The sequence below is a fragment of the Homo sapiens genome, chromosome 11 (assembly GCF_000001405.40).
Source record: "Homo sapiens chromosome 11, GRCh38.p14 Primary Assembly".
Taxonomy (NCBI): domain Eukaryota; kingdom Metazoa; phylum Chordata; class Mammalia; order Primates; family Hominidae; genus Homo; species Homo sapiens.
In genome coordinates this window covers 66,374,116-66,386,636 of record NC_000011.10, presented here as the reverse complement: position 1 = coordinate 66,386,636, position 12,521 = coordinate 66,374,116, and the positions used below count along the sequence as shown (strand labels likewise).

General features: G+C 44.3%; 3 annotated features.

The window, feature by feature from the left end:
* Nucleotides 165–459: an enhancer, noted in NCBI's record as "tiled region #15247; K562 Activating DNase unmatched - State 4:PromP, and HepG2 Activating non-DNase unmatched - State 4:PromP". NCBI's record gives its function as "activates a minimal TATA promoter and a strong SV40 promoter by Sharpr-MPRA in K562 cells, with weaker activation in HepG2 cells {active_cell/tissue: HepG2 | K562}" and the evidence as "EXISTENCE:reporter gene assay evidence [ECO:0000049][PMID:27701403]".
* Nucleotides 3,083–3,583: an enhancer, noted in NCBI's record as "H3K4me1 hESC enhancer chr11:66150525-66151025 (GRCh37/hg19 assembly coordinates)". NCBI's record gives its function as "activates a minimal SCP1, AML or CMV promoter by ChIP-STARR-seq in primed H9 embryonic stem cells {active_cell/tissue: H9 hESC(primed)}" and the evidence as "EXISTENCE:reporter gene assay evidence [ECO:0000049][PMID:30033119]".
* Nucleotides 3,584–4,084: an enhancer, noted in NCBI's record as "H3K4me1 hESC enhancer chr11:66150024-66150524 (GRCh37/hg19 assembly coordinates)". NCBI's record gives its function as "activates a minimal SCP1, AML or CMV promoter by ChIP-STARR-seq in primed H9 embryonic stem cells {active_cell/tissue: H9 hESC(primed)}" and the evidence as "EXISTENCE:reporter gene assay evidence [ECO:0000049][PMID:30033119]".

Genomic DNA, 12,521 nt, shown 5'->3' with positions numbered 1-12,521 from the left:
GACTGATTTAGGCTCCTTGCCCGCCTGGAGATTAGGAAACCTTGTTTTATTCCCAGCCAAGGCAACAGCTGAGATGAGCTTCCCGGTTGCCTCCCTGGCCAGTGGGAAGTTTACTGGTCTTCCTTACAAAGTGATTGCAGCCCTTCAAGGGTTCTGGCTTTGTGCAAGGATCTTATTTCTAATTTATCGACCGTCAAAGCCCGAGATTCCATCTTCCGTTCCTGAATGAGGTTAAAAACCGATCTTTCGCCCTTGGGGAACTCGTAAGCAAATGTTCGACTGCCCCCTTGTGGACACTCCTGGCAAGGCCGAGCTGGTCTTTTTAGCCAAGCTGTTTTTGTTTTTCTTTGAGATGTAGTCTCGCTCTGTTGCCCAAGCTGGAGTGTAATGGCGCAATCTTAGCTCAGTGCAACCTCCGTCTCCCGGGTTCAAGCGATTCTCTGGTGATTAACAAATTAGAGTGGTAGACACCCCCTCCCGGCCATCCATCTATAATCTGAGCTCTGGAGGACCCTAGGATGTGAAATCGTGTGATGTTCTTGGTTCCTGTCCCTCTGCTTATGTGTGTGTGTGTATATATATCTATATCTATATATATAGATATATAGATATAGATATAGATATTTGTTTTGTTGTTGTTGTTTGTTTGTTTTTTAAGAAACATGGTCTTGGCCAGGAGCGGTGGCTCACGACTGTAATCCCAGCACTTTGGGAGGCCAAGGCAGGTGGATCACCTGAGGTCAGGAGTTGGTGACCAGCCTGGCCAACATGGTGAAACCCCATCTCTACTAAAAATACAAAAATTAGCCAGGCATGGTGGCTCTTGCCTGTAATCCCAGTTACTCGGGAGGCTGAGGCAGAAGAATAGCTTGAACCTGGGAGGCGGAGGTTGCAGTGAGCCCAGATGGCGCCACTGCACTCCAGCCTGGGCAACAGAGAGGGACTCCATCTCAAAAAAAAAAAAAAAAAATTACATTAGCTGGACATGGTGATACATACCTATAGTCCCAGTTTCTCAGGAGGCTGAGGTGGGAGGATTGCTTGAGCCCAAGAGTTCAAGGCTGCCATGAGGTATAATCACACCCCTGCACTCCAGCCTGGCAACAGAATGAGATTCTGATTATTAAAAAAAAAAAAAAAAAAAAAAAAGGCCAGGCGCGGTGGCTCATGCCTGTAATCCCAGCACTTTGGGAGGCCAAGGCGGGCAGATCGCCATGTCAGGAGATCGAGACCATCCTGGCTAACACGGTGAAACCTCGCCTCTACTGAAAATACGAAAAAAAAATTAGCCGGGCGTTGTGGCAGGCGCCAGTAGTCCCAGCTACTCAGGAGGCCGAGGCAGGAGAATGGTGTGAACCCGGGAGGCGGAGCTTGCAGTGAGCCGAGATCGTGCCACTGCACTCCAGCTTGGGCGACAGAGCAAGACTCTGTCTCAAAAAAAAAAAAAAAAAAGCCTGTCACATGTCACAGGGCCATGGAAGCCAACTTGAAAGAAATTCCAGCAGCCAATGCTGGAACAATTTGAGCAACAAAGTAAATAGCATGGTATTGAATTATAAGTCAAAGTATGAAATATATCCACATGAGTCTATACTGATCATACTGATATAAAATAATTGAATAAATAAGCAAATAGGGGAGAAGAGACAAATCATCCTTACAGAAGAATTTCAAATAATATGTAATATATAGAGATACTCCTTAATCCAAGAGGTAGAGCTTAGTACCATCCTCCTGTAACTGTAGGCTGGACTTAGCAACTAGCCTCCAAAGAATAGGGTATGGAAAGGACAAATAATAACTTTTTTTTTTTTGAGACGGAGTCTTGCTCTGTCTCCCAGGATGGAGTGCAGTGGCATGATCTCAGCTCTCTGGCTCCCAGTTTCAAGCGATTCTCCTGGCTCAGCCTCCCAAGTAGCTGGGACTACAGGGGTGTGCCACCATGCCTAGCTAAGTTTTGTATTTTTAGTAGAGACGGGGGTTTCACCGTGTTGGCCAGAATGGTCTCGATCTCTTGACCTCATGATCCGCCCGCCTCTGTCTCCCTCCCAAGCTAGGATTACAGGCGTGAGCCACCGTGCCCGGCTGACAAATAGTAACTTTATACTAGATAAACTTGGCAAACGTGACTTAACCAGGTGACCAAAGTCGACATCAAGAATATCTGCATAGGCCAGGTGCAGTGGCTTATGCCTGTAATCCCAGCACTTTGAGAGGCCAAGGCGGGCGGATTGCTTGAGCTCAGGAGTTTGAGAACAGCCCAGGCAACATGGTGAAACCCTGTCTCTACCAAAAATACAAAAAATTAGCCGGGCATGGTGGCGTGCATCTGTAGTCCCAGCTACTCAGGAGGCTGAGGTGGGAAGATGGCTTGAGCCTGGGAGGTGGAGGTTGCAGTGAGCCGAGATCATGCCACTGCACTCCAGCCTGGGTGACAAAGTGAGACCCCATCTCAAAACAAAAACAAAAACAAAAAGAATCCGCAGAGAAAAACCACCATCAGCAAAGTCAAGTGACAAACTAAGAAAAAATTCACAACTCGTATGACACACAAACGTTTAATTTTCCCAAAATAAAGACCTCTTGCCGGCCGGGTGCGGTTGGCTCACGCCTGTAATCCCAGTACTTTGGGAGGCCACCTCTTGCCGGCCGGGTGCGGTGGCTCATGCCTGTAATCCCAGCACTTTGGGAGGCCAAGGTGGGTGGATCATGAGGTCAGGAGATCGATGCCATCCTGGCTAACTCTGTGAAACCCCGTCTTTACTAAAAATACAAAAAATTAGCTGGGCGTGGTGGCAGGCGCCTGTAGTCCCAGCTACTTGGGAGGCTGAGGCAGGAGAATGGCATGAACCCGGGAGGCGGAGCTTGCAGTGAGCAGAGATTGCGCCACTGCGCTCTCCAGCCTGGGCGACAGAGCGGGACTCCGTCTCAAAAAAAAAAAAAAAAAAAAAAGACCTCTTGCCATTCACTATTAAGAAGCAACAAAAAGAGCAACAACCCAGTAGAAAAATGGACAAATAACAGAAACAGTTCTCAGAAAAAGAGGCTTTTAAATAGATTAGCTTGAACCATATATAAAGTTGCCAATATTGACTTTTGACTTATAAAACTGACAACTTTATATGATTTAACTATTAAAAGTTGCTAACCCACAGCAAAAGGTTAATGCCAATTGAAACTATACTGATACCAGTTTCCACCTACAGTTTGGTTAAGAACAAAACATTTAGGCTGGGCACGGTGGCTCACGCCTATAATCCCAGTACTTTGGGAGGCCGAGGAGGGCAGATCGCCTGAGGTCAGGAGTTCGAGACCAGCCTCACCAACTTGGTGAAACCCCATCTCTACCAAAACTACAAAAAATTAGCCAGGCGTGGTGGCGCGCTGCTGTAATCCCAGCTACTCGAGAGGCTGAGGCAGGAGAATCGCTTGAACCCAGGAGGCAGAAGTTTCAGTGAGCCAAGATCGCCCATTGCATTCCAGCCTGGGCAACAAGAATGAAACTCTGTCTCAAAAAAAAAAAAAAAAAAAAAAAAAAGTGCTAGGTGCAGTGGCTGACACCTATAATCTCAGCACTTTGAGAGGCTGAGGTGGGCGGATTACCTGAGGTTGGGAGTTCAAGACCAGCCTGACCAACATTGAGAAACCCCGTCTCTACGAAAAATACAAAAAAAAAAAAATTAGCCAGGCGTGGTGGCGCATGCCTGTAATTCCAGCTATTCAGGAGGCTGAGGCAGAGTTGCTTGAACCCGGGAGGCAGAGTTGCTTGAACCCGGGAGGCAGAGGTTGTAGTGAGCCAAGATCGCGCCATTGCACTCCAGCCTGGGCAACAAGAGCAAAACTCTGTCTCAAAAAAAAAAAAAAAAAGAACAAAACATTTAACAACATCCTGCTGGCTGGATAACAGGCACCAACATATATAGCTGGTGGAACTGTGAACTGGTGCAATCTCTGTGGAGAGCAATTTAGCAGCATCTATTAAAATTACAGGTGTAAAAAAAATTTAGCTGTATATATCCTCGAAAGCATTTCCACTTCTAGGAATTTCACCTACAGATAAACTCCCAAATGTTATTCATTGCACCATTATTTATAATAACAGATGAATGGAAATCATCTATTTTATTTTTGTGTTTGTTTTTGTTTCTTGTTTATTTTATGCTTTTTTTTCTTTTTGTACTTTTTTCTAGATTGGAAACAATCTAACGTAAATGTCCATCGATAGGGGACTACTTTTTTTTTTTTTTTTTTGAGATGGAGTCTCGCTCTTGTTGCCCAGGCTGGAGTGCAGTGGCGCAATCTCGAGTCACTGCAGTCTCCACCTCCCGGGTTCAAGCGATTCTCCTGCCTCAGCCTCTCAGCCTTTTTTCTTTTTTCTTTTCTTTTCTTTTTTTTTTCTTTTCTTTTTTTAAGACGTAGTCTCGCTCTGTCACCCAGGCTGGAGTGCAGTGGCGTGATCTCGGCTCACTGCAAGCTCCGCCTCCTGGGTTCCCGCCATTCTCCTGCCTCAGCCGCCCAAGTAGCTGGGACTACAGGCCCCAGTCACCACGCCCTGCTAATTTTTTTTGTATTTTTAGTAGAGACGGGATTTCACCATGTTAGCCAGGATGGTCTCGATCTCCTGACCTCGTGATCCGCCCGCCTCGACCTCCCAAAGTGCTGGGATTACAGGCATGAGCCACCGCGCCCGGCCATTTTTTCTTTTTTTTAAGAGATGAGGTCACACTATGTTGACCAGACTGGTCTCGAACTCCTGGTCTCAAGAGATCCTCCCATCTTGGCCTCCCAAAGTACTGGAATTACAGGCGTGAGCCACTACACCCAGCCAATAGGGGACTACTTTAAAACATTATGGTTTAGCTATACAATGAACAACGTTATTAAACAAAAACAAGTTTAAGGAGTCAGGCAATATGATTCAGAGAAACTGCTCCCGGTATAGTGCAACTAAAATGCCGGAGAAGGCCAGGCACGGTGGCTCACGCCTGTAATCCCAGTACTTTGGGAGGCCGAGGTGGGCAGATCACCTGAGGTCGGGAGTTTGAGACCAGCCTGACCAACATGGAGAAACCCCGTCTCTACTAAAAATACAAAATTAGCTGGGCGTGGTGGCGCATGCCTGTAACTCCAGCTACCTGGGAGACTGAGGCAGGAGAATCGCTTGAACCCAGGAGGTGGAGGTTGTGGTGAGCTGAGATCACAGCATTGCACTCCAGCCTGGGCAACAAGAGCAAAACTCCATCTCAAAAAAAATGCTAGGGAACATATAAAAACATCTTTCTTTCCAGCACTTTGGGAGGCCAAGGCAGGTGGATCACGAGGTCAGGAAATTGAGACCATCCTGGCTAACACGGTGAAACCCCGTCTCTACTAAACAAAATACAGAATATTAGCCGGGCGCCTGGTGGTGGCGGGCGCCTGTAGTCCCAGCTTCTCGGGAGGCTGAGGCAGGAGAATGGCGTCAACCCGGGAGGCGGAGCTTGCAGTGAGCCCAGATCGCGCCGTTGCACTCCAGCCTGGGAGACAGAGCGAGACTAAGTTTCAAAAAAAAAACAAAAACAAAAAACAAAAAAAAAACACTTTCTGACGAATGGTTAAATAGGAAAAGTAAGAGAAATTCTTACTTTTTAAACTTTTTTTCATAGAAAGCTTTGAATCCACAGAAAGATAGAATAGCACAATGAACACTCGTAAACCCACAACCTAGGTGGCAATTGTTGATATTTTGCAACATTTTTCCATCTATATGAAAAAACATAATAATACATAATTACATATAAAGTACATATAATATATAAAGTAAAAACCAAGTATCATGATATTTCAACCCTAATTACTTCCCATACATGCTGAATAGTTTCCTCTTAAATTACCAATGTTCAGAGTTAAGAGTTGGTGTGATGCAGCCAACCGCTTCCAGCAGTGGCAAAGAGGGTTGGTTTTTATTTTGTCTTGTTTTTGCTTGTTTGGTTTTTATTTCTATTATTATTATTATTATTTTTTGAGACAGAGTCTAGCTCTGTAGCCAGGCTGGAGTGCAGTGGTGCAATCTCTGCTCACTGCAACCTCCCCCTCCCAGGTTCAAGCAATTCTCCTGCCTCAGCTTCCTGAGTAGCTGGGATTACAGGCACGTATGTGCTGCCACGCCTGGCTAACTTTTGTATTTTTAGTAGAGACGGGGTATCACCATGTTGGCCAGGATTGTCTTGATCTCCTCACCTCGTGACCCGCCCACTCAGCAAGTTACTGCATTGTTCATCGACAATACTTGGCCATCAAGAATGTTCACAAAATACTACAAATCAATGAATGTTTTCCCACGTTGTTATTAGGTTGAATCATGGGAAATAGACATTTTGTGGGTTAGAAAGCAACTTGATGAAGAGCATCCACAAAAAAACTACAGCTAACTATATACTTTATAGCGACAAACTTGAAGCTTTTCTGGTAAGATCAGGGACAAGGCAAGAATGTCCCCTCTCACCACTGCTTTTCAACATCCTACTGGAAGTTTTAGCCAACACAATAAGTTAATAAAAGGAAATAAAAGGCATACAGATGGGGAAAGAAGAAATAAAACTGTCTTTGTTTGCTAATGACATAATTTCCTAGGTAGAAAACCTGAAAGAATCAAAAAAGCTTTGGAAATAATAAGCAATTATACCAAGGCTGGAGGATACAGGTTAATATTCAAAAGTCAATCTTTTTTTTTTTTTTTTTTTTTTTTTGAGACAGAGTTTTGCTCTTGTTGCCCAGGCTGGAGTGCAATGGCGCGATCTTGGCTCACCGCAACCTCCGCCTCCTGCATTCAAGCGATTCTCCTACCTCAGCCTCCCGAGTAGCTGAGATTACAGGCATGCGCCACCACGCCCAGCTAATTTTTTTGTATTTTTAGTAGAGACGGGGTTTCTCCATGTTGGTCAGGCTGGTCTCGAACTCCCGACCTCAGGTGATCCGCCCGCCTCGGACTCCTGAAGTGCTGGGATTACAGGCGTGAGCCACCCCGCCCCGCCCCATATTCTTATATATAGCAATGAATGAGCAAAATTTAAAGCACATTATAATTTTTTTACCGCATTAAGAATGTACTCCATAGCCGGGCGTGGTGGCTCACGCCTGTAATCCCAGCACTTTGGGAAGCCAAGACGGGCGGATCACGAGGTCAGGAGATCAAGACTATCCTGGCTAACACGGTGAAACCCTGTCTCTACTAAAAATACAAAAAAATTAGCAGGGCGTGGTGGCGGGCGCCTGTAGTCCCAGCTACTAGGGAGGCTGAGGCAGGAGAATGGCGTGAACCTAGGAGGCGGAGCTTGCAGTGAGCCAAGATCGCACCACTGCACTCCAGCCTGGGCGACAGAGCGAGACTCTGTCTCAAAAGAAAAAAAAAAAAGAATGTACTCTATAAAAAGAGGAAAAAAATGCAATTTTTTTTAGCAACTTGTACATTTCAGAAGGTACAAACTGCTTTGTGAAATCAACCAAACATTTTTAGTGGGTGCTCCTCTTTTCTTTTTTTTTTTATTATTATACTTTAAGTTCTAGGGTACATGTGCACAACGTGCAGATTTGTTCCATAGGTATACATGTGCCATGTTGGTTTGCTGCGCCCATTAACTCGTCATTTGCATTAGGTATTTCTCCTAATGCTATCCCTCCCCCTGCCCCCCACCTCACGACAAGCCCCTGGGTGTGACGTTACCCACCCTGTGTCCAAGTGTTCTCATTGTTCAATTCCCACCTATGAGTGAGAACACGCGGTGTTTGGTTTTCTGTCCTTGTGATAGTTTGCTCAAAATGAGGGTTTCCAGCTGCATTCATGTCCCTGCAAAGGACATGAACTCATCCTTTTTTTTTTTTTTTTTTTTTTTTGAGACGGAGTCTCGCTCTGTCCCAAGGCTGGAGTGCAGTGGCACGATCTCGGCTCACTGCAAGCTCCGCCTCCTGGGTTCATGCCATTCTCCTGCCTCAGCCTCCCGAGTAGCTGGGACTACAGGCGCCCGCCACCGCGCCCTGCTAATTTTTTTGTATTTTTAGTAGAGACGGGTTTCACTGTGTTAGCCAGGATGGTTTTGATATCCTGACCTCGTGATCCGCCTGCCTTGGCCTCCCAAAGTGCTGGGATTACAGGCATGAGTCACCGCGCCCAGCTGAACTCATCCTTTTTTATGGCTGCATATATTCCATGATGTATATGTGCCACATTTTCTTAATCCAGTCTATCATTGATGGACATTTGGGTTGGTTCCAAGTCTTTGTTATTGTGAATAGTGCTGCAATAAACATACATGAAAGCACATTATAATTTACATTACCATCCCAGAAATGGAAATAGTTACGTGTAATGAATATAACAAAATATGCAAGATCCATATGAGGAAAACTGTAAGACTCTGATGAAAGATATCAAAGAAGAATTAAATAAATGGAGAGGCCTGGGACCGGTGGCTCATGCCTAGGATTCCAGCACTTTGGGAGGCCAAGGTAGAAGGATCACTTGAGTCCAAGAGTTTGAGATGAGTCTGGGAAACATAGTGAGACTTATTCTCTACAAAAAATTAAAAAATTAGCTCAGTGGTGGCACATGCCTGTGGTTCCAGCTACTCAGGAGGCTGAGGAGGGAGGATCGACTGAGCCCGGGAGGTTGAGGCTGCAGTCAGCTGTCACTGCACCGTTGCACTCCAACCTGGACATCCGAGTGAGACCTTGTCTCAAAATTAAATAAATAAATAAATAAATAAATAAATAAATAAATAAATAAATAAAATGGAGAGATATTCCCTGTTCATGGATAGGAGAGCTTCATATTGTCAAGATATCTCTCCTTCCCAACTTGATCTATAGATTAAGCATGATTCCAATCAAAATCCCAGAAAATTATTTTGTGGATATTGACAAACTGATTCTAAAGCTTAGGTGAAGTGGCAAAAGACTCAGAATAGCCAACACAATATAGGAAAAGAGCAAACTCAAAGGACTGACACTACCCAAGTTAAGTATTTAATATAACGGCCAGGAGCGGTGGCTCATGCCTGTAATCTCAGCACTGTGGGAGGCCGAGGCAGGCAGATTACGAGGTCAGGATTTCAAGACCAGCCTGACCAATATGGTGAAACACGGTCTCTACTAAAAATACAAAAATTAGCTGGGCATGATGGCATGTGCCTGTAGTCCCAGCTACTCAAGAGGCTGAGGCAGGATAATCGCCTGAACCCGGGAGGTGGAGGTTGCAGTGAGCCAAGATCGCACCACTGCACTCCAGCCTGGGCAACTGAGCGAGACTCCATTTCAAAAAAAAAAAATTAATATAGCTACAGTTATCAAGAGAGTGTGCTATTAGTGAAAGAATAGACAAATAGATCAATGAAACAGAACTCAGAGCCCAGAAATAGAGCCACATAAATATAGTCAAATGATCTTGGTCAAAGGAGCAAAGGAAATACAACAGAATAAAGACAGTCTTTTCAACAAACGGTGCTGGAACGACTGGACATCCACATGGGAAAATTGAATCTAGACACAGACCTTAAATCATTCACAAACATTAGCTTAAAATTGGTCATGTAAAACACAAAGCTATATAAAACACTTAAACTGTACATAACTATATAAAACTCCTAGAAGATAACATAGGAGAAAACCTAGATCATCTTGGATATAGTGATAACTTTTTAGATACAACTCCAAAGGCACAAGGCATGAAATAAGTAGTATAGGTTGGACTTCGTTAAAATTAAAAACTTCTGCCCTGCGAAAGACACTGTTGAGAGAATGAAGAGAAAAGCCACAGACTGGATAAAATATTTTCAACACACACATCAGATAACAGACTGTTATCCAAAATATACAAAAAAGGGCCAGGCATGGTGGCTCACATCTGTAATCCCAGCACTTTGGGAGGCCGAGGCAGGTGGATCACCTGCGGTCAGGAGTTCAAGACCAGCCTGGCCAACACGGTGAAACCCCATCTCTACTGCAAATACACAAAATCAGCTGGGCATGGTGACGTGCACCTGTAATCCCAGCTACTGGTGAGGCTGAGGCAGAGAATCACTTGAACCCGGGAGGCAGAGGTTGCAGTGAGCCGAGATTGAGCCATTGCACTCCAGCCTGGGCGACAGAGTGAGACTCCGTCTCAAAAAAATACAAAAATTAACAAATAAATAAATAAATAAAACAAGATATCGCTGCACACTTATTAGACTGGCTAAACTCTAAAACATTAACACCAAGTGCCCACAAAAATGTGGAGCATCAAGAATTGTTTCATTGTTGCTGGGAACAAAAAATGGTACAGGCACTTTGGAAGATAGTTTGGCAGTTTCTTACCAAACTAAACAGTCTTACCATATGACCTAGCAATGGTGCTCCTCGGCATTTAACCCAAATAAATTGAAAACTTATGTCCACACAAAAACCTCCACACAATTGTGTATAGCATCTTTATTTGTGATCACCAAAACATGGAAGCCACCAAGACGTCTTGAAATAGGTAAATGGATAAACAAACCATGGCAATTCATACAATGGAGTATTATTTAGCAATAAAAATAAATGTGTTGCCTGGGCGCGGTGGCTTATGCCTGTAATCCCAGCACTTTGGGAGGTCGAGACAGGCAGATCACTTGAGGCCAGGAGTTCGAGACCAGCCTGGTCAACATGGGGAAACCCTGTCTTTGCTAAAAATACAAAAATTAGCTGGGCATGGTGGCAGGCACCTGTAATCCCAGCTACTTGGTAGGCTGAGGCAGAAGAATCACTTGAACCTGGGAGGCAGAGGTTGCAGTGAGCTGAGATCATGCCACTGGACTCCAGTCTAGGCGACAAGAGTGAAACTCCATCTCAAAAATTTAAAAAATTAAAAAAAAAAGAAATGAATTATCATGCCAAGAAAAGACATGCAGGATCCTTAAGCACACATATAAATGAAAGAAGCCAGGTTGGGCCCAGTAGCTTATGCCTGTAATCTCAGCACTTTGGGAGGCTGAGGCCGGTGGATCACTTGAGGTCAGGAGTTCGAGACCAGCCTGGCCAACATGGTGAAACCCTGTCTCTACTAAAAATACAAAAATTAGCCAGGTGTGGTGGCTCGCACCTGTAATCCCAGCTACTCGGGAGGCTGAGGCAGGAGAATCGCTTGAACCTGGGAGGTGGAGGTTGCAGTGAGCCGAGATCACGCCATTGCACTCCAGCCTGGGCAACAAAAGCAAAACTCCATCTCAAATAATAATAATAATAATAATCATCATCATCATCATCATCATCATCATCATCATCATCAATGTTGAATGAAATTCAGTACACAGGTTTAACATTAGATTAAGTACAACCTAAAAATAAAATCTATTATTTATTTTTTAAAACCATGTTGATAATTTTTCTGAGCCTAGACTCTAAATCCTTTTTACATTTAGACAAAATGTATTATTTGCAAGGCTTGAATATACACAGCATTCTTCAGTAACACAGCTACTGTCTGTGTTGACGGACAGCTGCCCTTTGACTTCTTTGGAACTTGACCAGGACTTGGTCACATTTAAGAAAATCACATCCTAGCATAAAGAAAAGACAAATATTTAAGGTGATGGACATCTCAGTTGTCCTAGTTTGATCTTTACACATTATATGAATAGATTAAATTATCACATACACCCTGAAAATATGTACATCTATTATGTATCAAAAAAATAAATAAATAGGGCCAGGAGCGGTGGCTCACGCCTGTAATCCCAGCACTTTGGGAGGCCGAGGCAGGTGGATCACGAGGTCAGCAGTTCGAGATCAGCCTAACCAACATGGTAAAACCCTGTCTCCACTAAAAATACAAAAAAATTAGCTGGGCGTGGTGGTGGGCGCCTGTAATCTCAGCAATTTGGGATGCTGAGGCAGGAGAATTGCTTGAAACCGGAAGGTGGAGTTTGCAGTGAGCCAAGATTGCACCACTGCACTGTAGCCTGGGCAATAAGAGCAAAACTCTGTCTTAAAAAATAATAATAATAAGTAAAATAAAATAAAATAAATAAAAATAAAATTTAAAACATAAATGAGGAAAAAAGTTTTTTTTTAGGCCGGGCACTGTGGCTCACGCCTGTAATCCCAGCACTTTAGGAGGCTGAGGTGGGTGGATCACGAGGTCAGGAGTTCAAGACTAGCATGGCCAAGATGGTGAAACCCCATCTTTACTAAAAAATACAAAAATTAGCCGGGCATAGTGGCTTGTGCCTGTAATCCCAGCTACTAGGGGAGGCTGAGGCAGGAGAATCACTTGAACCTGGGAGGCAGAGGTTGCAGTGAGCTGAGATTGCGCCAGTGCACTCTAGCCTAGGTGACAGAGCAAGACTGTGTCTCAAAAAAAAAATTGTTTTTTTTTTTAAAGAAAAGAGGCTGGGTTTAGTGGCTTATGCCTGTAATTACAGCACTTTAGGAGGCTGAGACGGGCAGATCACCTGAGGTCAGGAGCTCGAGACCAGCCTGGCCAACATGGCGAAATCCTGTCTCTACTAAAAATACAAAAATTAGCC